We start from the raw sequence: 26,766 nt of genomic DNA, 5'->3' as shown, positions 1-26,766 counted from the left end.
GCCCAAGCTAGAGTGCAACGGCACGATCTCGGCTCACTGTAACCGCGCCTCCTGGGTTCAAGCGATTCTCCTGCCTCAGCCTCCCGGGTAGCTGGGATTACAGGCGCGCCACCAGGCCCAGCAAATTTTTTTGGTATTTTTAGTAGAGACAGGGTTTTACTATGTTGGCTAGGCTGGTCTCCAACTCCTGACCCTCAGGTGATCTGCCTGTCCCGGCCTCCCAAAGTGCTGGGATTACAGGCATCAGCTACCTCTCCCAGCCAGGTTTTTAACTTTTCTAAACAATTTTGTCCGGATATTCTTATATAAACAACTCTGTGCACTTAATTGATTTTTCCTAATACTTCAGCAGCACACACTTGCATTTGATGGAAGCTCTGGAAATAAAAAATCCAAAAATATTCTCAACTCATTCCAGAAGCAAAATTAATAGTGGTGATATCAGGCAATTTTCGGTGGGGAAAACAAAGCCTCACTAATAAGAGTTTACATAAAATTGGCCCTGTGATGAACCCCATGAATCTTAGTCTCAACTTTCTTGGGCGGCCAGCCTCTTGTTGTTTTGTATTGCTCTCCATTTTATATTGTTTTGTTTTGTTTTGTATTGCTTCCCTTTGGGTGGGTGGGATCCCTGGAGATGTACATAATTTGATTTTAAAAATTATGAAAACATTACCTCTGCCATGACCTGAACCACTGAAATTGATGCTCTGAGTCTCCCTGGTCTCCTCATAGTTTGTTTCCTAGATTAAACCCACAAATGAGGGTATCGATTAATAAAACCGAAGTCACATATGTAAAGCAAGGGAGGCTTTGATGGGGATAGACCTGCATGTGTGTAAGATCATCAGAAGATTTAGGGCAGCTCTGAAAGACAGATACCCTCTCATTACAGTGACTGAATTATGACTATTACATTAATAGATATAGGGAAGTTGATAGAAGTTGATGGGAGAGTGAAGAAGGTTTTGAAGTGTGAGAAGAACCTCACTAGGAACAATTCAACGAATGGTTGGAAATGTAGTTGGGATTTCTTCTTCTTCTTCTGCTTTTTTTTTTTTTTTTTTTTTTTTTTTGAGACAGGGTCTGGCTCTGTGGCACAGGCTAGAATGCAGTGGTGCTATCTCCACTCACTGCAGTCTCCAACTCCCAGGCTCAAGTGATCCTCCCAAGTCGCTGGGACTAACAGGCATGCGCCCCCACACCTGGCTAATTTTGTTGCTGTTGTTTTTGTTGCAGTAGAGATGGCGTTTTTCTATGTTGCCCAAGCTAGTCTCAAACTACTAAGCTCAAGCAATCCACCTGCCTCAGTCTCCCAAAGTGCTAGGATTACAGGCATGAGCCACGGTACCTGGCCTGTGGCTGGGACTTCTTATAGCTTGAATTATAGATTTGGGGATCATTTATGAAGACATGGCAGGTGAAGTACAGAGAATTAATGGTGAGAACATAAGAATAGGGGGAAGAACATGTGCTCGGGATCCACCATACTTTGGAGGGAGAAGGAGAAGGGGAGCCTACAAGGGGAAGAAAGTGGTCAAAGAGATGGGAGAGCCAGACAAACAGAGGGTCACAAAAGCTAAAAATAACCAGCTTCATGATTTGTAGCACCCTATGCAAAATGAAAAGGCAGAGCCGTTTGTTCAACAATTATTAAGAATATTGGCCGGGCATAGTGGCTCATGCCGGTAATCCCAGCACTTTGGGAGGCCGAGGCAAGTGGATCACTTGAGGTCAGGAGTTCGAGACCAGCCTGGCCAACATGGTAAAACCCCATCTCTAGTAAAAATACAAAAATTAGCTGGGCGTAGTGGCCCGAGCCTGTAATCCTAGCTACTTGGGAGGCTGAGGCTCGAGAATCGCTTGAACCCAGGAGGTGGAGGTGGTTGCAGTGAGCGGAGATCATGCTGCTGCATTCCAGCCTGGGTGACAGAGTGAGACTCTGTCACAAAAAAAAAAAAAAAAAAAAAAAGAATATTAATGGCCATTGCAGTGGCTCACATCTGTAACCCCAGTGTTTTGGGAGGCCAAGGTGGGAGGATCTCTTGAGGCCAGGAGTTCAAGGCTGCAGTGAGCTATGATTGTGCCACTGTACCCTCTGTCTAAAATGAAAATTCTTTTGTGCTTACTTCGGCAGCACAAATACTAAAATTAAAGCAAGACAGAGAGAAGATTAGCATGGCCCCTGTTCAAGGATGACATACAAATTCATGAAGCAGTTTATATTTAAAAAATATATATGTTGAAAACTTTTCAGGCCAGTCACGGTGGCTCACGCCTGTAATCCCAGCACTCTGGGAGGTCGAGGCGGGTGGATTACCTGAGGTCAGGAGCTTGAGACCAGCCTGGCTAACATGGTGAAACCCTGTCTCTACTAAAAATTCAAAAAATTAGCTGGGCATGGTGGCGGGCACCTGTAGTCCCAGCTGCTCAGCAGTCTGAGGCAGGAGAATCACTTGAACCTAGGAAGCCGAGGTTGCAGTGAGCGGAGATCACGCCATTGCACTCCAGCTTGGGCGACAAGAGTGAAACTCGGTCTCAAGAAAATAAAATAAAATAAATTATTTTTGGCTGGGCGCGGTGGCTTACGCCTGTAATCCCAGCACTTTGGGAGGCGGAGGCGGGCAGATCACCAGGTCAGAAGATGGAGACCATCGTGGCTAACATGGTGAAATCCCGTCTCTACTAAAAAAATACAAAAAAATTAGCTGGGTGTGGTGGCAGGGGCCTGTAGTCCCAGCTACTCCAGAGGCTGAGGCAGGAGAATGGCGTGAACCCGGGAGGCGGAGCTTGCAGTGAGCTGAGATCGCGCCACTGCACTCCAGCCTGGGCAACAGAGCGAGACTCTGTCTCAAGACTCCCAGCCTCCTCAGTAGCTGGGACAACAGGCGCCTGGCTAATTTTTTGTATTTTTAGTAGAGATGGGGTTTCACTGGGTTAGCCAGGATGGTCTCGATCTCCTGACCTCGTGATCCGCCCGACTCGGCCTCCCAAAGTGCTGGGATTACAGGTGTGAGCCACCACGCCCGGCAATTATTTTCATTTTTAATTATTATCAATACATAGTGTATATATTTATGGGGTACATGTAATGTGTGGATACAGGCATACAATGTGTAATAATTGCATTATTTGTAATTGTGATTAGGGTATTCATCGCCTCAAGAATTTATCATTTCTTTGTGTTATGAACATTACAATTCCACCCTTTTAATTAATTAAAAATATGCAATAAATTATTGTTGCTGTAGTCACCCTGTTGTGCTATCAAATACTAGTTCTTCATTCATCCTATTAAGAAAAAGTTGTATTTGCTGTTATCTGATGCCTAACAAAAAAAATAAGTACATAAATACGTAAAATAATTTTAAGATAGGAACAACAGAATATTAAACCAAGCGTGAGGAGCTTAGGGCTCTATACAATTAACTATATGGGTTGCACACCTATGAAGCTTGCCCTGAAGCTAAGAAGTTAAAGAATTTTTAAAGAGGGGAATGTCAAGGAGAGTGAAATTGGAAAACAGGCTGTTGAATTTGATGATTTGAGGTTACAGAGACTTTCAAGAGAGTGGGGTGGGGGACAAAAATCAGATCATGAGGGGTTTAAGGGTTGATTGCTTGGAGGATGAAGTACAGCAGTGAGAAGTTGGGCATTTGAAGAGAGATGGTCCAGTAGTTCAGAGAGCAATTGGGTTAACGAGCAGCTGTTTTCAAATAGAGCCGACACGATCTTGTTTATTGGCTTGGATACTGAGTGGGAAAGGCTGAAGATGCAAGCAAGAGGAATAAGTGAGGACACAAGGTTTGGAAGTGGCAAACATGTTGTGATTAACAATAATGGTAGAGAGATGATAAACTTTGCAGTCAGTCTCTGAGCCACCCTGGAGTAATGGAAGAGAGAGGGTCATAAAGACACAAAAACATCAAGAGAGAAAGCGAGATGTCAAACATAGCTCCGAGCGGGCTTAATCATTAGGCAGCTTTTCAGGGTTTCAGGGATTTTTGTACTTTTTCTTTATTATACGCAACAGGACCAGCCCCAAACATGAAAACTGATTAATTTGTGAAACTAACACTCCATGATTTTTGTAGGCTATCAGCTGTAGGAGGCATTCTTGCTGTAGTTTGAAGTGATGGGGATTTAGTTAGAATTAACTGTCCATCACATGCTCTCTAATGAGGTGAATGACATCCTTGCCCTAGCTCATCTTGTAGAGAAATACAACCGCTGGCAGAAATGAGTTCTTCCAGTGTCTTCTCCCCATTTTAGTTCTATGTTTATTCTTCTGTACTTACTTCTATTACAATGTGAAACATTTCAGGTATTTTCTCCCAAATTTATTCTATTGAAACCACCTACAATTGTTTTCAGTTTCAGCAGAAAAAAATTCCCTTGAGGATTTCTGAATGCTAAGGTATGAGAAATAAAAGAAACACTTGTGTAAAAATTTAAATCACATTAAAAAAATTCCCTTTTGTTTGAGAAGGTAAAAACATTTGATGTTTTAAACATCCAAGAGGGTAAGTGAGCCCAAAGGATGGACTGCTGTTTAGTTAAGCATGAAAGGACTTTAGAATTGTCAGTTATTAACTTCTAATTTGTGTGAAAGAAACTTTGAGAACTTTCCCTTTCTATAACTAGTAATTAAGCCATTATTCTAACAGGGGCAATTAAGGGGTGAGTGTTTAATAAAAAAAAAAGATAATGGAAAAGACTCTACGCCCCAAGACACATCAAGACAAGGAATGGCAGCAGCAGCAACAACAAAAGGAACTCAGTTTGAATTCACAAAGGAAATGAGACAACCCGTTTCAACTAAAAACGAACAAACTGTTGGTGGAGAACAAAAACAGAAGATTGTTATTACTTAACTCACAAATATACATATGCAACTCTCTCTTTCAGTGGGGAAATGATCCAATCAGTATTAAAATTTTGTTGATTGTAGATTAATGTATGCCACTAAATAAGATAACTTAACTTGAGCTTTTGGGGGTGTTTTATTTTGAAAATGTCATACTCTGTTAGCCTGGTTTATTTGAAAGACAGGTAGGACAGAGAGTTGAGACAGACCTTTGCCTCATGGAAACACACTCATCCTTCTATTATTACCATTCTTGTGCCTCTGTCGCTTCTCAGAGGGCAGGGTTTAATAGATTTGGTCTAAACTGCTTTGTCCAGTGGTTAGCACAACTCTCTCAGAGGAAGCACTCAAATTTTAAGAAATGGTAATAAGACTAGATATTCTTAGAAATCTATTGATTTAAAATGCTTCCCAGTCTCTGTCCAATCCTGTCAAAGCCCTTATAAATTTAACACGCTGCTTTTTAACAACTGATTCAACCCCAGATACTTGAGGGTTAGATATCTTATTTAGAACATGCATTTTGCTGTTCAGCAAGTAAGAGTTTCGCTGCCACAGCTTATCTTACACCTTTTTGAGAATATGGGGATATATAGAAAAGCTGATGAATTCTGATAAAGTGGCGATTCCCAAGCTCTGAACTGGTTATCGGGGTGCTTATTAAAATGCAAATTCTTTCAATATAATCCACAGGTAAAGAAATAAAAAATGCAAATTCTTAGGAAATCAATTTGCCACAGAGATTTGGAGTCAGTTTTTTTTTCTTTTTAGCAACTGATAAGGTGATCTAGGGATCAACATTGATAAAACATTGATGTAAGTTTTTTTTTTTAACTTTCTTACCCTGTTAACTGATGATGTAAGCTTTTTGAAGAAATAAAATGATTCAGTAAAATCTAAACTTTATATATTGGATCTGGCTCACCATTCTTTACGTGAGTCAAATTGGGGGCAATTATTAACGATATCTTCATAATTGGCAGGAAAATCACCTTTAAAAGATTAGTAGACTTTAAAAAAACAGTTTTAGGCTTACATAAAAATTGGCCAGAAAGTACAGAGAGTGTCCATAGACCCCTCCCAGCCCCTCACCCTCACTTGCCCCTATTATTAACATGTTGCATTAGTGTGGTACATTTGTTATAACTGATGAGCCGATATGGAAAGTGACTTTTGAAATGACATGGCGAGGTTGCCCAACGTATCAGTGGCTGGGCTGATGCTGGGAACCACGTCACACCCACACACTCACTTCAACAATCTCCCTGGTAATTTCTCTGGCAGAGATGTTGTGTGCAGATTAATACCATAATGACTGTAATTGTTCTGCTCCAGTATCTGAACACCAGTGGTTGCAGGACCCATTTGACTAAGCACTGGGATTGTTGGTATTTATCCTGACTCCATCTTCACTTTCCTTGCGACCTTGGACACAAGCTTTAATGGCTCAGCGCCTTAAGCGTGTAAACCTGTGAAACAGAACAACATTGCACAATATCATTAACTAATTTACACCTTGACTCTTTCTAAAGGGAAGTGAGGTGGGAGCAATGATATTAATGGTGAAGAACTGGACTGGGATAAGTTACAAACATGCTTGACTTTCCCCATAAGGATTACAGAAGGATGTTTCATTCATTCATTCATGCTGTGAGACAGCCTGGGGATACTCATCTTAAAGCACAGTCCTTCCCCAACAGTCTTAGGAATAAATCCTAGAGTGGGCATCTAGCCCAGTGGTTACGGGGAGCTTGGGTGGGGTGAGTGGAGTAGCATCTTTGGGAAGGGTTCCTTCCCCTGGAAGGTGTGACTTTGTGAGCTGAGTTTTAAAGGTTGAGTAGCAGTTGGCAAATTCCCTGGAGAGAGCATCTCAAATCTTTTGTGCTGAAGAACCAGCCATTTTTGTTCCCAGTCGGCCAGGTACCAATACACTGCGGCGCCAGGTGTGACTCACCACGTGAGTCTGACAACACCCAAACTGGTTTATACTCGGTTCAAAGAGTCCACTGATCATGTGCTTGGATGTCGTGGCATTATTAAATTGCTACAAACGTTTACTCTTAATTTCTCTACTTGTTACAAGCTTTCGTTCAGCACAGGACCAGGTAGCACCTGAGGGGCACCTGGAAAGCAGATTGTTCCAGCCTGCGTTCTAACAAGGTTCCCAGGTGACCCTCGCACAGCATAAAGTTAAAAGAACTGCCCTAGGGGAAACGGGACTCAGTGCCAGGTGGGTTTGATCATTCGTCCATCTCAGTGCCATCTGCCATCTCTGCTTCCTTGAGGTCTAGAAAAGGGTTACATTTTTAAAGGTGATATTGGCCACGTCCCCTTCCAGTTTCAAAACTACATTTCCCCGCTGTTACGCAAACGTCTTAAGCAAACCCGACTGCAGGACAGAAAGTCAACACGGGAATGCAGCTTCCAGAAATTCTGATTAGCCTCCGTCTTCCGCTTTGATCTGGCCCCGCAGCCCCGGCAGCTCCGCTGACCGCGCTTCCTTCCCGAGATTGCTAGTCTACCGGGCTGCATTAATGAGATCCGTGTTGAGCCGGTTCCCGGGTCTGCTAAACATGAAAGGCACAGAAGCCCCCAGTCCCTTCTCCTCCCCTCTAAGTGATTGTTTAGTCTCTCTCTGCAGAGGGAAGAGTTAAATCCCCTCCCCACGCCTACGTGGGAAGACCTGGGGAAACACGCGGCCCCCTCCCGGGTCCGCTAACGAGCCTGCGGCTGCTTCGGGCTTAGAGTGGGCGGGGCCTGGTCGGGAAGGGGGCGGGGCGCTCCGCCCGGGCGGGGCCAGACGGTGTGGTTGGCGGAGGGCCAAGCTCCTGGGGGCGGGGCCGCGAGCGGGAGGGCGGGGCCGGCTGCGGGAGGGCGGGGCCGGCTGCGGGAGGGCGGGGCGAGGTCGCTGGGCTGTAGTCCCGCGGGCGAGAGCTGGCTGAGCCGCGGCGCGGGACTGCTCACCTCCAAGCGCTCGCGCGGGGATCGCGGCTCCTGCTCACTTTGCGGCCCGCTGTCCTCCTGCCCGCCCCGAGGGCCCCCGGCCGGAGCGCAGAGGGAGGGGGCCGCGCTCGCCAGCACCCCGCCGCCTTCCCCCGCCTGGGGGAAGAATGTGCCACCAGCTGTTCTCCGCTTGCGAGCGCTGCGCCCAGTAGTGAGGAACTTGGAGGAAGAAGAGACAAAGGCTGCCGTCGGGACGGGCGAGTTAGGGACTTGGGTTTGGGCGAACAAAAGGTGAGAAGGACAAGAAGGGACCGGGCGATGGCAGCAGGGGAGCCCCGCGGGCGCGCGTCCTCGGGAGTGGCGCCGTGACACGCATGGTTTCCCCGGACCCGCGGCGGCGCTGACTTCCGCGAGTCGGAGCGGCACTCGGCGAGTCCGGGACTGCGCTGGAACAATGGATAACTTCTTCACCGAGGTAAGTGCGCTCCCAGTCCGACCTGGCCTCCGGAGCCCAGGGAGAGAGGCGTCTGCCCACCACGCCGCGCGCCCTGGGTACTTTTTCCTAAGCCCTGGAAGGCGCAACTTTCTGGGAGTCTCCTGAAATCACCCCCCATCCCCCCGCGGAGTCTCTGATGAGTAAGCCCGGGCAGGTTTTGTTTCGTCCTGTCCCGCGCTCGCATTTTGCTCCGGGAGGTAGCGAAGGTGCGTTTCCGTTTGCGTGGGTGGCTGGCTCTCGGGGCGCCCTGGGACACCCGCGCCAGGTGAGGCGGCGCGCGCCGGGGCGCGGGCGGGGCGATCCGCCCGCTCGACTGCCCGGGTGCAGGAAGCCCAATAAAATGTTCAGCGGGGACCTGCCTTTCTCCAAGAAAGGTCTTGTCTGGTATTTCCTTTGCAAAACGTGCGGGCTTCCTGTGCAGGGGTTCAAACACTTCCAGAGGAGACGGCTTAATGAAGTGTGAGAAGGAGAGGCAAGGGTTTAATCGGTTACTTTGCTCGCCGAGAAGTGCTCTTTTAAGGCTTGGGATAACTCCAGACCCTGGGATCAAATGATCATGTATTTGTGTAGAGTGTCCATGCAGATTTTGAATTCGAATGTAAAGAAAATTCGTTTAGGGCAAACAGTGGCTATTTTAATAGATGAAACGGATGCCCTCTTTAGGGTCGTTGAGGGTGGGACACTGAAACTTAACTTGAGAACCCTTTTTCCCCCTTTGGGATCGAGACTTACTGTGGTTTCTTGGCTCCCTTTCCTTTCTTGGTTGTGTTTATTTAATAAATTCTGTTTAAGTTTGAGGTTTGAAGTGGCTCAAAGTAAACTTAGTTGACTTGAGAGAGTCTGATGTGATTTTCGTTGAAAGCCAGGGAATGTTTTCTGAGTGCAGAACCGCTTTGGAGTCTTCCAGCAAATCAGATTGATGAGGGCTTGCCTCTGTGTTAGCCGACTTGGTTTATCTGATTTAATTGGATATAATATTTCAAGTCATTCTGCTTTCTGCATGCTCACTGACTGTATTCTCAGACAGCTATTCATACTGGCCAAAGTGATAAATGCATTCTTGTTTAGTAGTCATATCTAGTTTTTAAAAGTGGTGTTTCAGATGTGATACCCACATTCATTGTGGAAGGAAGACTAGAAAGGAATTATCCATCAATACATATTTTTCCTTTTCTTAAAAAAAGTGAAATATATATAATTGTGAGACGCTCGCATTTTCTAGTCCATAGACTTTTGTTTTCATGCTTGTCGAAAGGCACCAGAACTTTCTGCAAGAGTTGCACGTTGTCCAGTGGTAAAGGACCCTCGGGCTACAGTGAGTTCCGGTGTTTAATTGCTTGCATCTGTAAGAAAACGGAGGCCCTGCCCCTAGGGCAATGATTCTTAACTTTGTTGTTTTTGTGTTCTGGGTCCCTTAGAAAATCTGATGAAAATATAGAAATTTGTATTCAGTTTGCACGGATCTCACTCCTCCTGTAGCCTGTCTGAGCACCACAGGGGTCCGTGGCTCCCCCTTGGGGAGAACTCTGCCCCCTAGTGCAAGTGGGGGGAACATCAGGATAACGCGCTACAGCGTCCTGATCTCCTGTTACCCGGTGAGACTTTGACTTTTCAAAGTACTCTTTTCATCTTGCACTGGATACCTTAGTTCAGTGTAAGGGGCCTGGTTGTTGGATTTTATTTCTGTGATCAATATTATTTTGCAGTTGGCCATTAGTGATCTTCTACTTTCTCCTCTTCATTTTGTAGACAGAATCTTAACCCAAAGATATGAGTAAGTCCCTTGCCCAGCTTTGAAGAGCTTGTTCACGAATCCAGAGCCTTTTTCCTTTGCTGCTGGTGACTTTGGTATTTCTGGGAACTTTTCGCTTATTTTAAGGTTATACTTTTAATCTTGTGATGTATGTGTATTACAATATTAACTTCTAATCAGCCGTGAAAGTTCCACCCTTAAATCTAATCACTTTGAGTGGGAAGGAAGCAGGGCCAGTCAGAGAGGTTAAATAGTGAGGTATTAATTGTAGACATACTCTTAACATAGATCCCAGCTCCCCTTTCTCTCTCTCATGTCTTGTAATGGAGCATCCTTTTGTTAAATTGTCCAGTGAAGAAAATGCTGTAATTAATGTCCTGTTAGAATAGAAACAGCGAGTGTGGAAGTGATATATTCCCCAAGGACAGCTAAATTGTTTGGCCTCCTTATCACTAAGTAGAATTCTGTCTTTGCTAACTTTTCCCATTGTGGCTTAGGGGTAAATGACTTGTTGCTTGTTGGACAACAGTTTAAAGCCAGTGCTAACAATTGGGGAAAAATTACTGAATGAGATGTTGCCTGTTTAGCTTTGTGTATGAATGGCCAAATAATAAGGAAATGGGAGCTGCTTGTGATTCGCAACTGCTATTTCTAGCTAGACCAGGGTTTCTCAAACCTGGTACCATTGCTGAGTAATTCTTTGTTGTTGGAGGCCGTCCTGTGTGTTGTAGGAGGTTAAACGCATCCCTGGACTCTACTCAGTAATTGTTAACCCTATCCCCCAAGTTGTGACAACCCGAAAGGTCTGCAGACATTGCTGAATGACAGGGGAGCAAAATCACTCCCAGTTGAGATCCACTGAGCTAGACCTGTGAAGCAGTTGTTTGGCGGTATTAATTCCTATTTGTGTTGCAGGCACAGCCTTGTCTGCGCTTCCCTGTTTTAAATAGGATTTGGCCGGGTGCGGTGGCTCAAGCCTGTAATCCCAGCACTTTGGGAGGCTGAGGTGGGAGGACTGCTTGAGCCCAGGAGTTCAAGACCAGCCGGGGCAACATGGTGAAACCTCATCTCTACAAAACTTAGCTGAGTGTGGTGGTATGCACCTGTAGTTCCAGCCATTCTGGAGGCTGAGGTGAGCCCAGGAGGTCCAGGCTGCAGTGAACCATGATTGCACCGCTGCGCTCCAGAGCAACAGACCCTGTGTCACAAAATAGATAGACTCTTACTGCCTGCTAGATTGATTGATTAATTAGATAGATAGTGTCTTACTGCGCGCCAGGGGGAAGCTTGCAAAGCTTGTGCCAGTCAGCTGACAGCTGCTGACTTCAAAATGTTCTCCAGGATTAGAGAAACTGAGCATGCCACATTCCTCAGTTTCAGTTTCTTCATGGCCTTCATTAGAATTTTATGGCTCCCCTCGAGTTAATTGTGTGTATGCTTTGGGGAAGCTTGTTTTTTCAGCATTTCTAAGTAAGTTGTTAAGTTTACTTCAGCCAGAAACTAAGTTTAGATGTGTCTGTAACCAGAAGCAATAATAATAAAAAAAGCAAACAGAAAAGGCTCAACCAGGAAAGGGGCAAGGCTACTGTGCAAACTTGTGTTGATGTGCTGAAGTGGACACTGTTTTCATGTCTTCAGGGCCAAGTACAGTGCCTGGAATATAGTAGGGGCCAGTAAGTACCAAATGAAATTGACCTTTCTGTTTCCCTGTTAGGCAGAGGTGTGATGTGTCTGTTCAAATACAAGATCTCGGAGGATTATTAGTGAGACTAATCAAACACCTTGATTTTCAGAATAAATATGTAAAATGTACACAAGTAAGATACTCACAAATACAAATACAGAAAGCAGGTATTAATGTTTAAGGGATAAATTGTTAGTGGAAAATATTCCAGACATACCTGTTTCTTCCAGTCTGGTTCACTCTGGATTAGAGCAGACTTCATTCTAAAGACGTTAAGTGGAAACACCAACCTCTTCTACTTAACTTGACAAGGGACTGTGGTTGTGGTTGGTTATCTGGAGTTGTTCAAATAGCTTTTTAAGTGAGTAGAGTTCCCAAGCCAATTTTCTCCCCATTTGGTTGTATATTTTTTTTGTTTGTGATCTATTGACATCTTTTCTTGTTAGAGAAAAATGTGGACATTGTTATTTTTGGCAGCTTTCTCTCCTCACCCTCGATATGTCTCCATGTGTAAAGGGGAACTGCTGAGGACTTCTTGTATCACCAATTCCTGAAGGCAACCCCTTTGATGACTATAAAATCATATCAGGAGATTAGCTGGGTCCCTTTCCCTTTTCTCACAATGGAGATATAGCGTGTTGCCTCTTCTCTGTAGTTTGAAAACATTTCTATTGTCAAGTACTCATTTTTTTTTTCCCCCTGCTATGTTGGGGACAGCAAAGCCAGGGGGAGCAGCTGCAGTGGGACAGTTGTTGCAGCAGGAGCAATAAGCTGTCTGGCTGGGGCGGGCAGGGTAGGACTGCTTCCTCACTCCATATCATGTGGCCGGCTGTTCCTGCAAAATCAAGCACAAACCAGGAACAAGCTGGCATGGGCAGGTCCCTCACTGTTTAACCAGAGTGGTGGAGGGAGAGAGCAGAGTGTTTGCTTTTCCAGTTCAGCTGGCTTTAAGTGGGCTCACATTTGAGGATGTAAACCTTGAATGTGCTCTCCTGCTGTTGTGATTGGTAGGACATGGAGTATCTTATTATTATTACTATTATTATTATTATTGTTTTGAGATGGAATTTTGCTCTTGTTGCCCAGGCTGGAGAGCAATGGTGCGATCTCGGCTCACCACAACCTCCGCCTCCCGGGTTCAAGCGATTCTCCTGCCTCAGCCTCCCGAGTAGCTGGGATTACAAACATGCACCACCACACCCAGCTAATTTTGTATTTTTAGGAGAGATGGGGTTTCTCCATGTTGGTCAGGCTGGTCTCGAACTCCCGACCTCAGGTGATCCGCCTGCCTTGGCTTCCCAAAGTGCTGGGATTACAGGCATGAGCCACCATGCCCAGCCGGGAGTACCTTATTATTCATGAGTTTCAACAGTTTGGACTTAGAGTAACTGCTACGTAACATTTTCATGTCACTAGCTAGTAGGGGACGTTCAAGAATGAGCCTCCGGTGAAGTCTGGATTAAGCGTTTCCCCTTGCCTAACTGCCCCCAGGCTGAGTGCAGAGCATCCTATCTTAGCAGTAGCGCTTGGCTCCCTCCGATGGGATCTCAGCCAGATGCTCTAAATCCTGAACTTGAGCTCTCTGGTCTGTAAATGGGCGTAATAGTTCCTAGTTTGCATGGTTATCAGCCGAATTTGAGAGAGGACTTACAGAGCCCTTGGCACATAGTAGGTGAGTAATAACAAAGGCTTGGTCACAGTAACTGTACTTTGAAATTAAGAACCAGTGGCCCTTGGTGAATGGAATGTCAGTACTCCTGGTGCAGGGAAATCTCGACCTTAGAGCTTTTTGTTCTGAGGTAGCTTCCTGTGGTGCGTTGCATTTATTTGTTTTCTCTTTTTCAGCCTGTACATTTCTGGCAGATTTTGTATTTCCAGAACTCTGTCTAAAGCATGTTCTTATTGCTTATAAAATTAAGTCCACATTCCTCAGTCTGGTTTTCAAGGTTTTCTGATCTTGTAACTCTCTCTTTATTCTTTTCTCGCACGTGATCCTACACCAGAGGATCTGTTACCCAGTTCCACTCCATCCTTTGTGCAGGCAGGCCTCTCTGTCTATCGAATGTCCCACCTGTCTGGCTCCTTTTTGAAACCGTCTCTAACAGGTCTAGTTCACGGTGACCTCTATTCTCTTACCTCTAAACCTGGCTCTCTTTCTGTCTTGGTCTTGTTAGGAGGGATTTACTGCTGTTAGCTAGAGGCTTTACATGCTTTACAAACCCTCTCCCCTTTTCAAATGAGTAAACAGCCTTGCGAGGTTAAATATCTTATTTGTAAGTAAGTTTCATCACTTCCTTGGCATTGAAATGTCCTCATGGTTGAGATTCAATCCTTGCATAATGGTTATTTTCAGATTATTTTATGGCGGGAAGGGGAGATGCTTCTAACTTTTTCCCTTGATTATGAAGTATCTTACAGTTCTTTGAAGACAATAATAAATATGGCTAGTGTTTCTTGAGTACAGTCAGCCCTGTACTCAGTATCTGTGGGTTCTGCATCTCTGGATTCAACCAACCTCTGATTGAAAATATTCAAGAAAAAAATTGCATCTGTACTGAACATGTAGACTTTTCCCCATGGATTTTGGTATCTGGGGAAGGTCTTGGAACCAGTTCCCTATAGATACATAGGGACAACTGTACTTACCATGTGCCAGGCATGTTGCTGGCACTTCACATTTAGTGACTCATTTAATCCCTTGAACAACCCTATGGGAAAGGCTCTATAATTATACCCAATCCATAGATGAAGAAAGTGAGGCACAGAGAGGTTAAGTAACTGACTCAGTGTCACACAGCTAGAAAACGATAGCCAGGATTTGAACCCAGACAGGCTGTGTCCAGAGCCACAGAGAGTTCTTCACTGCCATGCTTTTCTGTCCTGTTGATGTCCTTTGCCTTAAACTTGCGTCATCTTCTCTAGGCTCTCTGATGAAATGCCCTAAAAGTGGGCAGTTATTAAATGATTTTCAAGTGGAAAACTGCATGGGAGTTTAGGAAAACAAGTAGTCCACACCCTAGAAATGTTGAAAACTCCGCAGGAAAATGTTCATCAGCTTTTGAACATGCCACTGATTTGGCCGGGTGCAGTGGCTCATGCCTGTAATCCCAGCACTTTGGGAGGCCGAGGTGGGCGGATCACGAGGTCAGGAGATGGAGACCATCCTGGCTAACACGGTGAAACCCCCATCTCTACTAAAAATACAAAAAATGAGCCGGGCATGGTGGCGGGCACCTGTAGTCCCAGCTACTCGGGAGGCTGAGGCAGGAGAAGGGCGTGAACCCAGGAGGCGGAGCTTGCAGTGAGCTGAGATCGCGCCACTGCACTCCAGCCTGGGCGACAGAGCAAGACTCCGTCTCAAAAAAAAACCAAAAAAAAAACATGCCACTAATTTTTATTTGATTTGCTTTTTTTGGGAAAGCCAAGCGCCTTCTGTTTCCTTCTAAAAATGTGTGTGTGTGTTTTTGTTGTTGTTGTTGTTTTTTGAGATGGAGTCTTGCTCTGTCGCCCAGGCTGGAGTGCAATGGTGTGATCTCGGCTCACTGCAACCTCCACCTCCCAGGTTCAAGCGATTCTCCTGCCTTAGCCTCCCAAGTAGCTGGGACTACAGGCGCCTGCCACCACACCCGGCTAATTTTTGATATTTTTAGTAGAGATGGGGTTTCACCTTGTTGGCCAGAATGGTCTCGATTTCCAGACCTTGTGATCCACCCGTCACAGCCTCCCAAAGTGCTGGGATTACAGGTGTGAGCCGTCATGCCCGGCCCATAAAGTGTGGTTTCTAAAGCTGGTTGTCCCAACTTCATGAGGATAGTAGGAAGGTTTACATACTAAAGCACTTAGGGCCATGTGCTCATGCCTGTAATCCCAGCACTTTGGGAGGCCGAGGCAGGTGGATACCTGAGGTCAGGAGTTCGAGACCAGCCTGGGCAACATAGTGAAACCCTGTCTCTAATAAAATCCAAAAATTAGCTGGGCGTGGTGACATGGGCCTGTAATCGCAACTACTTGGAAGGCTGAGGCAGGAGAATCGGTTGAATCCGGGAGGTGAAGATTACGGTGAGCCACTGCACTCCAGCCTGGGTGACAGAGGGAGACTGTCTCCAAAATTGTAATAGTAATAATAAAAATATTAAAACAAAATAAAGCACTTAGAAAACAAGATGATTTGAGAAGTGTTTATTAAAAGAAAATGTGGGACTCATTTGTTTCCCTAATTCCAGCTGTCAATTAATTAGTGAAGTGTTACTTGAGGTTTTTTGATAGAATCTTCTTTTTCAGTTAAAGATTCTGAGTGCTTTGTTGGAGTTTCTTCATATCACCTATCATTTGCTTGTTAGCTTATCGATACCCATGGAACAGTTATTGACAGGACATTGGGTCGTTTTCCCAAGAGCATTCCTTGAATAAAACATTTTGCTGCCTTGCTAAGAGGTGTTCAGAAAATATTTCCACCAGGCCTAAAGTAAATCTAGCACCTCATGTCACATGACATCATGTCATCTAATGCTGCCAGTTACAGGAAAAGACATTAGAGTTTTGGGGACAAAGCCACAACACATCTGTTGAAATACAGCTAGAACAAGGGAGAAACATATGGGAATTGTCCAACTAATAGCTCTACCTTCACCCAGTCCGACTCCCTGCCTGCTCTTAAGGATTAAAATTGCCTCCGTATAAAAGCATTTTAAATTACGGCAGTTAAAGGCCGGGCGCGGTGGCTCAAGCCTGTAATCTCAGCACTTTGGGAGGCCGAGGCAGGAGGATCACGAGGTCAGGAGATCCAGACCATCCTGGCTAACATGGTGAAACCCCGTCTCTACTAAAAATACAAAAAACTAGCTGGGCGTGGTGGCTGGCACCTGTAGTCCCAGCTACTCGGGAGGATGAGGCAGGAGAATGGCATGAACCTGGGAGGCGGAGCTTCCAGTGAGCCGAGATTGTGCCACTGCACTCCAGCCTGGGCAACAGAGCAAGACTCCATCTCAATAAATAAATAAATAAACAAACAAACAAAAGAAAATACCATAAGCAGAAGACACAAAGAAGCTCCCATGGTGTGGCTCTTCATGTTTGTGGTAGATGCATTGAGACTTTTTTTTTATGCCTTCATATATATGTTTCTGATAAAACACACCTGTAATGTTTTTCACTGAAGAGTTGATTGAGAAAAGCTTTAAATATCATTTGTGGGGCCAGAGGCAAGAGTACAAATTCAGTTCCCATATCACATACCTAAACATTTAAAAGTTATAAACCATGCTTACAAATTGGTAAATAAAATGGCTTCTACTCTGCCTGGACAAATACATCTGTCATTAGGGCAGAATCAACAAACATGTTTAAAGCTATGGGTTTTATTGCTGAAAGTCAGCAAAATATCAAACATGAGTGAATTTAATTACAGTTGCCTATGTCTGGGTGTTCTGTTGATGTTTCATGAGTAATAAATACGTATACTCCATAGTATATTTTTCATAAATCTATTTTTTTGTCCATATTTTAGCAAACTCACTTGTTATGTGGTTAGAGTCAAGATTGTCACAATAGTTTGTTTTACGGACAGTAATACCAAGGTGGAGAACCTTTCTTTGTGGTTCTTAGATTGTTCTTTTTTTTTTTTTTGCTGGGACAGAGTCTTCCTCTTTCGCCCAGGCTGGAGTGTAGTGGCGCAATTTTGGCTCACTGCAACCTCCACCTCCCGAGTTCAAGCAATCCTTCTGCCTCAGCCTCCCACGTAGCTGGGATTACAAGTGTGTGCCACCATGCCTGGCTAATTTTTGTATTTACAGTAGAGACGGGGTTTCATCATGTTGGCCAGGCTGATCTGAAGCTTGTGACCTCAATTGATCCACTAGCCTTGGCCTCCGGAAGTTCTGGGATTACAGGCGTGAGCCACCCCACCTGGCCAGATTGTTCTTTTCTTAATCTAAGTCTAGAGATGGCCTGCTTTGCTGAGGCAGGACAGTAGTTACTGACATTGTCAGCGAAATTCATACAGCACTATTTAGATTAAAAAAAGAATGAGATTGCATATGATAGATTATTGATTTTAAGAAGTACTACAAAGTATTTTAATTTCATTATCCAGGTTGAATATCCGTAATCTGAAAATCCAAAATTTGAAATTCTCCCAAATTGGAAACTTTGAAAAAAATATTTATTGTTAATTTTTCATATTAGATTTACGTTTTCCAGGTACATGTGATCATTTGATGCTTTCATATAATCACATCAGGGTCATTGGGATATCCATTACCTTAAATTGTTATCTTTATGCTAGGGATATTCAAATTATCCTCTTTTAGGTATTTTGAAATGTACAATCAGTTAATGTTAACCATAGCCACTCTACTGAGTGCCGAAATGACACTCAAAGAAAATGCTGTTTGGAGCATTTTGGAGTTTGGATTTTTTATTAGGGATGCTGAACTGGTGTCTTGCAAATATTCCAAATTCTGAAACACTTTTGGCAGCAAGACTTCTGGATAAGAGATAACCAGGCAGTCTATGTGAGTCATTATTGCTGATATTGTGATTTATCACCATTTCTTAAATCAGGTATTTCTGAGGTTCTTTATAACTTTTCAATGCTGTGTATGTTATAAAGAAAACTGAGGCCGGACACGGTGGCTCATGCCTGTTACCTCAGCACTTTGGGATGCCGAGGCGGGTGGATCACCTGAGGTCAGGAGTTCGAGACCAGCCTGGCCAACAAGGTGAAACCTCATCTCTACTAAAAATACAAAAGTTAGCCAGATGTGGTAGCAGGCGCCTGTAATCCCAGCTACTTGGGAAGGCTGAGGCAGGAGAATTGCTTGAACCCAGGAGGCAGAGGTTGCAGTGAGCCGAGATTGCACCACCTACTCTTACTTACTCTGTTGCCTGGGCAACCCAGGAGTATACCGTAATGCGTGTACCATAATGCATATTGGCCAGAAAATGGTCTATGTGAAATGTTTGGGGATTAGGTCTATGTGAATCTTTTCCTTCTCAGTCATGCAGATGTTTTATTTCATTCTGATTTTTAAATATTTTCTTCAATTATTACTTTTGTTGCATGTTTCACATCCAGGTCCTTTCTGATTGAGGAAAAGTTTTCTCTAAAATTATTCAAAACATTTGTTAAGTGTAATGGCCAAATTATTTCTGTTTGGGTTTTGGGAAACTTTTGCTAATATTATTAATAGTAAGTGATAGGCCGGGTGCAGTGGCTCATGCCTGTAATCCCAGCACTTTGGGAGGCCGAGGCAGGCGGATCACGAGGTCAGGAGATCGAGACCATCCTGACTAACACGGTGAAAACCTGTCTCTACTAAAAAATACAAAAAATTAGTCAGGTGTGGTGGTGGGCACCTGTAGTCCCAGCTATTTGGGAGGCTGAGGCAGGAGAATGGCGTGAACCTGGGAGGCGGAGCTTGCAGTGAGCAGAGATCGTGCCACTGCACTCCAGCCTGGGTGACAAAGTGAGACTCTGTCTCAAAAAAAAAAAAAAAAAAGTGATAAAGTGATAGTTGATACCAAATAACTCCTGCCAATAGAAATTCAAAGTTAATATCACTTTCCACCCACGACCATGATTTGTACTTTATTTGAGGAGTTTCTGCATATTTACTTATTTTTTTGCCATTTTGATGTGCAGGGGTGTGAGGGTCCAAGAGTAGTCTGCCCATTCTTCCTGTGGCTGTATCATCAATTATATGACAATTTTAGGTTGTTTCTAGAAAACAGCGCATGAACGCTTTTGTACCTAAGTCATTGCGTGCCTATTTGATTATTTCCTGAGGAGTAAAATTTCCCGGGAGTGGAAATGTTGGATCACAAAGTTTGCAGATTCTTATTTGGATTATTTGGCAGTGGAAGTTTCATGAGAGGTGTCAGTGCAGCTGGCAGCTGCGCAGCTGAGAGACCCTGTCATGATGTATTTATGACCCCGGGGATTTTGTAACTCCTTACTAGAAGCTTAAGGAAATACATTGATTAGCGGAGGAAGTTAGCTCATGATACTAGATTTTCATTTCCATTTTTAGGTCTTCTGTGAACCAGGAGAAGGCCATCTTTTCTGTTAATTGCAAACAAGGCTCTTGATTCACATGCTCCATTCATCTCACCCCCCAGCGTGGTTGTTGATGTTCGTTTAAGGCCAAAGCACACTCAAGGGACTAGGCTGTACATTGCCTGGGGAGCCAGTGGACATTCATTTGGAGAATTATTTGTATGGAGTTTTACTTTAGTTTTTTGAGACAGCGTCTCACTCCGTCATTTAGGCTGGAGTGCAGTGGTGCTATCATGGCTCACTGCAGCCTTGATCTCTTTGGCTCAGGCGATCCTCCCACCTCAGCCTCCTGAGTAGCTGGGACCACAGGCCTGTGCCACCTTGCCTGGCTAATTTTTACATTTTTTGTAGAGATGAGGTCTCCTTGTTTTGCCCAGGCTGGTCTCGAACTCCTGAGCTCAAGGGATTCTTCCCCTTTGGCCTCCTAAAGTGCTGGGATTATAAGTGCAAGCCATCGCACTTGGCCAATTTTTTGATTTTTATTTCTTTGCATTTTAGTATCCTTGTGAGTTAACCCTAGGCAACAACAGTTACTATGTCGTGGTGGTTCACATGTTAGGTGGCCAGGATGTTAGGGAGTGTGTGTGTGTGTGTGTGTGTGTGTGTGTGTATGGGCGTGTTTAAGGCTTATTATTTATTAACCTAGGAAATCTTTCTGGACTTTGAAATAAGAGTTTAGTGCCAGGTGGCCGGGTGTGGTGGCTCATGCCTGTGATCCCAGCACTTTGGGAGGCCGAGACGGGTGGATCACGAGGTCAGGAGATCGAGACCATCCTGGCTAACACAGTGAAACCCCATCTCTACTAAAAATACAAAAAAATTAGCCGGGCGTGGTGGTGGGCACCTGTAGTCCCAGCTACTTGGGAGGCTGAGGCAGGAGAATGGCATGAACCCAGGAGGCGGAGCTTGCAGTGAGCTGAGATCGTGCCACTGCACTCCACCTGGGCGACGGAGCGAGATTCCGCCTCAAAAAAAAAAAAGAAGAGTTTAGTGCCAGGTGAAAATACACTACATCTCTGACAATGTATATACCATTGTCATTTAAATTGTCATTTAATACAGGTTTACTTCTGTTTATTTCTACCCATGTTTTGTTCTTCTCATGATGTGACCCAGGGGGATTTAGCAGTTGAAGGCTGAAGAAACTAGAACTCTCGTTGAAACTGGACAACTTACTATTGCAGGAAAAAGCACTAGTTCACCCTCCCCTCCCCTCTTCTCTTTTTCCTTTTCTTTCTTTTTTGAGATAGAGTCTTGCTCTGTCTCTGAAGCTGGAGTGCAGTGGCACTATCACAGCTCACTGCAGCCTCCACCTCCCAGGCTCAAGGGATCCTCTTGCCTCAGCCTCCCCAGTAGCTAGGACCACAGGCATGTGCCACCTCGCCCGGCTAATTTTCAAATTTTTTATAGAGATAAGGTCTCACTATGTTGCCCAGGCTGGTCTTGAACTCCTGGGCCCAAGCTATCCTCCCTCCTCAGCGTCCCAGAGTGCTGGAATTACAGGTGTAAGCCATCACACATGGCTGAGCACAAGTTTGTAAAACCCACCTGTCCAGATGGCTGAGCTAACCATTCTCAGAAACGAAACTACAACCCTAGAGTAGATACATGAACACTTTGCCTTGGCCCAGGATCCTGAAGACGGTGACCATGGACCTGCTGGCTAGCCTTGCCTCCTCTGCTGCCTGCTGCAGCTCACACTCTCCTCTCCTGACCCTAGAGGTTGCTGAATGGGTCACACACTCCTTTTAGACCAGTAACATACTGAGCTGTTTCAGCCTTCCCTTACACTTCATTTTCTAGAGAGCCAGTCATCTATTTGGATCTTACTTATATCTCCCCAAATTTGTTACTGTTGTTGTTTTATCTCTCTGAAACTTTGCTATCACAAGCTGGATTCTCTTAACATCTGATTATCTGATCATTGCAGGCGGCTTGGAGCTAAGGGCCAAGGTGTGCAGCCCTCTGGAAGTTTTCCCCCTCGGATTCTCAGATGTGGGCCCATGTGCCCTTTTTTCAGATCTTCTGAACCCTGGCACCCTTGATTTTTTTTTTTTTTTGAGACGGAGTCTTGCTCTGTCACCCAGGCTGGAGTGCAGTGGTGGGATCTTGGCTCACTGCAGCCTCTGCCTCCCGGGTTCCAGTGATTTGCCTGCCTCAGCCTCCCGAGTAGCTGGGATTACAGGCACGCACCACCACGCCTGGCTAATTTTTGTATTTTTAGTAGAGATGGGGTTTACCATGTTGGCCAGGGTGGTCTCGAACTCCTGACCTCAGGTGATCCACCTGCCTCAGCCTCCCAAAATGCTAGGATTACAGGTGGGAGCTGCTGTGCCCGGCCCCCTTTACGTTTTTGGCTAGATCAGTCTTTGTTGCAGTGGTGGGTGAGGGCGGTGGTGGCCGTCCTGCATATGGTAGGATTCTGAGCAGCCTCCCTGGCCTTGAATCACTAGATGCCAGGATCATACCCTCACCTCCTGGTTGTGACAACCAACTGTCTTCAGACATCACTAGGAGGCAAAATTGCTCCCAGTTGAGAACAACTGTATCATGTCTATACTCTTAAGGCCACAGATGAAACTTGATAGTATTTTTTCGATCTTCCTCATCTCCACTGTTTTCGTTTTTTTTTTTTTTCTTTTTCCTTTTCTTTTTTCCAGACCCTGAATTCCACCAGATCTACTGTTTCCTAATGGCCTTTCACAGTAGTAAATGTGTGGGAGACCACACATTTATCAGTGTGGAAATTTTATTCTTTGGGATCCAAACTCTCCCCATAAGGTTTGGGCATTTACAATCATTATTTACTGTCTGAGTCATGTGTTCAGTTGTTCAGCCTAGTTAGAATATTCCTGGCCAGCTGGAACCACTGCGCTAAGGCTTTCATTGGTCCCCGTTCTCAGACCCCTCACCCCCTAAGTGCTTTTTTAGTTCCTTTCCCTAGAGTGTTAGAGAAATATTTATTATACTGAGTAATTAAACTGACAGTTGTTCTCCACTAGGAAAAAGGTCGTATTCTCTCGCAAAGCTTTGAGGGCATGTCAAGTTATGTCAAGGTAAATTACATCTGCTGCCTTCTCCCACATATATCTTGGATGGTGTTATTCTGGTATACGTTTATTTTATTTTATTTTATTTTATCTTATGTTATTTTTTGAGATGGAGTATCGCTCTGTCACCTAGGCTGGAGTGCAGTGGTGCGATCTTGGCTCACTGCAACTTCCACCTCTCAGGTTCAAGCAATTCTCCTGCCTCAGCCTGCCGAGTAGCTGGGATTACAGGCGCCCACCACCACGCCCCAACTAATTTTTGTATTTTAGTAGAGATGGGCTTTCACCATGTTGGTCAGGCTGGTCTGGAACTCCTGACTTCAAGTGATTCGCCCACCTCAGCCTCCCAAAGTGCTGGGATTACAGGCGTGAGCCACCGCACCCGGCCTATTCTGGTATCCATTTTAAAAAGAAGTCTAGATTCAGAAGTCACCCAAATAGTACAGAGAGGCCCTTTCTGTGTACCTGCCATTCCCTGGTGGTGGCATCTTACATAACAAAATACAGTGTCAAAATCAGGAAATTGACATTCCTGCAGTCTACAGGCCTTATTCATGTTTCACCAGTTTTGCATACATGCATTTTTTATGTGTGTGTGATTCTGAACAGTGTTATCACATGTGTAGACTTGTACAACCACCAGCAGTCACAATATAGAACTGTTCCATGACAGTCCCTTGGGCTCACCTTTGGTGGCACCCCAGCCTCCCTCCCTCTAACCCCCAGCACCTACTTCTTTTTTCTCCTTCTCTATAGTTTTGTTATTTGAGAGTATTGTATAAATGGAATCGATCAGTACATATTCTTTTGAGACGGACTTTCTTCACTCAGTGCCTTTGCCGCCCATCCATGTTGGTACACGTGCCGGTTTTGTTCCTTTTTTATTATTAAGTAATATTGCATTGTTCAGGAACACTTTTATTTATTTTGTTTATCTTATTTGCTTTTTTGAGATGGAGTCATGCTCTGTCACTCAGGCTGGAGTGCAGTGGCGCAATGTCGGTTCACTGCAGTCTCTGCCTCCCGGGTTCAAGTGATTCTCCTGCCTCAGACTCCCAAGCAGCTGGGTTTACAGGCATGTGCCACCAAGCCCAGCTAATTTTTTTTCTTTTTTGAGACTGAATGTCGCTCTGTTGCCAGGCTGGAGTGCAGTGGCACAATGTCAGCTTACCGCAGTCTCCGCCTCCTGGGTTCAAGTGATTCTCCTGCCTCAGCCTCCCGAGTAGCTGGGACTACAGGCATGTGTCACCATGTCCAGATAATTTTTGTATTTTTAGTAGAGACGGGGTTTCACCATGTTGGCCAGGATGGTCTTGATCTCTTGACCTCGTGATCCACCCACCTTAGCCACCCAAAGTGCTGGGATTACAGGTGTGAGCCACCACACCCGGCCTAATTTTTGTGTTTTTAGTAGAGATAGGGTTTCTCCATGTTGGCCAGGCTGGTCTCAAACTCCTGACCTCAGGTGATCCACCTGCCTTGGCCTCCCAAAGTGCTGAGATTACAGGCGTGAACCACTGCGCCCGGCCTGTGTGTTTATTTATTCCATTATTTAACTTGTGAAGGTTTATTGGACACTTACCATGGGCTAGGACTGTGCTGAGCTTTTTACATGTATTAATTCATTTAATCTGCTTGGTAGTCCTAAGTGATTGTATTGTTTACATCTTTATTTTATGTATGAGAACACAGAGTCTTAGAGAAGGGAGGTAGTCTGCTCAAGTTCACACAGCTGGGAAATGATAGAGCCAGGATAGGAGGCCAGAGAGCTCTAGCTCCATGAACTCATTTGGAGGGGAAGGCAGTTGTTCTGGTAGATTTTTGTTTATTTGTTTGTTTTGTTTTTGAGATGGAGTCTTGTTCCGTTGCCCAGGCTGGAGTGCAGTGGCATGATCTCTGCTCACTGCAACCTCCGTCTCCTGGGTTCAAGAGATTCTCATGCCTCAGCCTCCTGAATAGCTCGAATTACAGGCGCCTGCCACCACGACCAGCTAATTTTTGTGTTTTTAGTAGAGACAGGGTTTCACCATGTTGGCCAGTCTGGTCTTGAACTCCTGACCTCAAGTGATCCCGCCTGCCTTGGCCTCTCAAAGTGCTGGGATTACAGGTGTGAGCTATCACTCCTGGCCGTTCTGGTAGGCTTTTGAAGTCGGAAGAATAGAGACTGTGTGGAAATCTTCAGGAATGCATATTTGCTTCTCCATACAGAGCAGAACAGTCAGGTAATACAAGTCCAAAAGGAATTAGCTGATTTCTGCCAGTGACTGGAACAAGGAATAGAAATTTTCCTATAGCCAAGCAAAAGCAGAAACATAGACCTTCTGCTTCTTTTTGTGATGACAGCAACTGCACACTCATCCCGAGTGATTGGCGTAAGTAAGTGATCCCTGTTCCGAGTGAGGGCTCGAAAAATACTTTCAGTGGGCCAGGCGCGGTGGCTCACGCATGTAATCCCAGTACTTTGGGAGGCTGAGGCAGGCGGATCACCTGAGGTCGGGAGTTTGAGACCAGCCTGACCAACATGGAGAAACCCTGTCTCTACTTAAAATACAAAAATTAGCCAGGCGTGATGGTGCATGCCTGTGATCCCATATTCGGGAGGCTGAGGCAGGAGAATCGCTTGAACCCAGGAGGCGGAGTTTGCAGTGAGCTGAGATTGTGCCATTACATTCCAGTCTGGGCAACAAGAGCGAAACTCTGTCTCAAAAAAAAAAAAAAAAAAAGAAAAGAAAAATAGTTTCAGTGAAATTTTGTGTTTCCAGGGAGCATCCGTGTGGAATGCCAAGGCCACACTGAATTTCATCAGTTATTTTTTTGGAGTTTCGTCTATTTCTGGTAAACTCTAGCTTCCATGAAGCAATATTGAGGGAAAGTGTATTTGCTTTGGAATCCATATGCAGTTTGTAAATCTTGCTTGTAATCTGCTGAGCTGCTGAGCTGATGCTTCTATCTGCCTTGTAGATGGAAGTGACACGCAGCTGTCTAGTCACAGCTTTGGGCTTTTGGACTCTTCACATCTTCCTTACCCATTAAACTTGAAACTGTTTCTTTCAAGTTTAATGATAACAATTTTAAGAAACTATTTTGGAAATTGACTCTCCTAGTAGTGTGAGACTTTAAAAGGTAATGGATGGTTTACATTTAAACCAGCTTTTGAAGGCTGTGATTTAGTTAAGGTGGTGCTACTTGGCAGCTGCTAATATTTTTTATTCCTATGGAATACGTATTCTGTAGTTTAAAAAGAAAGTGGCTAGCATGGTTAGATCAGCAGAAATATTCTTTGTTGTAAAGTATGTAGCCTGGAAGTTATCAAGGGATGGATACATAGGTTAGAATTACTTTTTTTTTGGACCCAGGGTCTTGCTTTTTTGCCTAGGCCGGAGTGCAGTGATGCAATCACAGCTCACTATACCCCGGACCTCCTGGGCTCAAGAGATTCTCCCCCGTTCGGCCTTTTGAGTAGCTGGGACTACAGATGTGTGCCACCATGCCCATCTGATTTTTTCTTTTTTTTTTCCTTTTTTTTTTTGTAGAGATGGGTCTCCCTGTGTTGCCCTGGCTGGTCTTGAGCTTCTGGGTTCCAGTGATCCTCTCCTCCCCTCTCAGCCTCCCAAAGTGCTGGGAATACAGGCATGACCCACCATGTCCTGCTAGAGTTACTGGTTTGCATAGAATGGTAGTTCTCAACTGGAGGCACTTTTGCCTCACCGGGGATATTTAGAAGTATCAGGAGACATTTCTGGTTGTTAACACTGATGGGAGGTGACTACTGGTGTCTAGTGGGTAGAAGCTGAGGATGCTGCTAAACATCCTCAATTGCAGAGGGCAGCCCCCACAATGAAGATTGATCCAGTCTAATAGGTCAATAGTGTTAAGGGTAAGAAAACCTGATATAAAAGATTGACTTACAAGAATCT

General features: G+C 44.8%; 1 protein-coding gene and 1 pseudogene across 2 annotated transcripts in view; both read left to right on the top strand.

Annotated features, from left to right (window-relative positions):
- Positions 2,122–2,230, top strand: RNU6-660P (RNA, U6 small nuclear 660, pseudogene; annotated as a pseudogene).
- The window catches only part of MYO10 (myosin X), a 274,382-nt gene continuing 255,400 nt past the window's right edge, over positions 7,785–26,766 (top strand). For both annotated transcript variants that reach the window (XM_006714475.4, NM_012334.3), the window contains exon 1: positions 7,785–8,285. In XM_006714475.4, the coding sequence (XP_006714538.1) occupies positions 8,265–8,285 (21 nt within the window). In that variant the 5' untranslated portion in view covers positions 7,785–8,264. The remainder of the gene's footprint in view (positions 8,286–26,766) is intronic.

Source organism: Homo sapiens, chromosome 5 (assembly GCF_000001405.40).
Source record: "Homo sapiens chromosome 5, GRCh38.p14 Primary Assembly".
Classification (NCBI taxonomy): Eukaryota; Metazoa; Chordata; class Mammalia; order Primates; family Hominidae; genus Homo; species Homo sapiens.
Note: the sequence above shows the minus strand (reverse complement) of the source record. Positions and strands in the feature narration are given on the sequence as shown.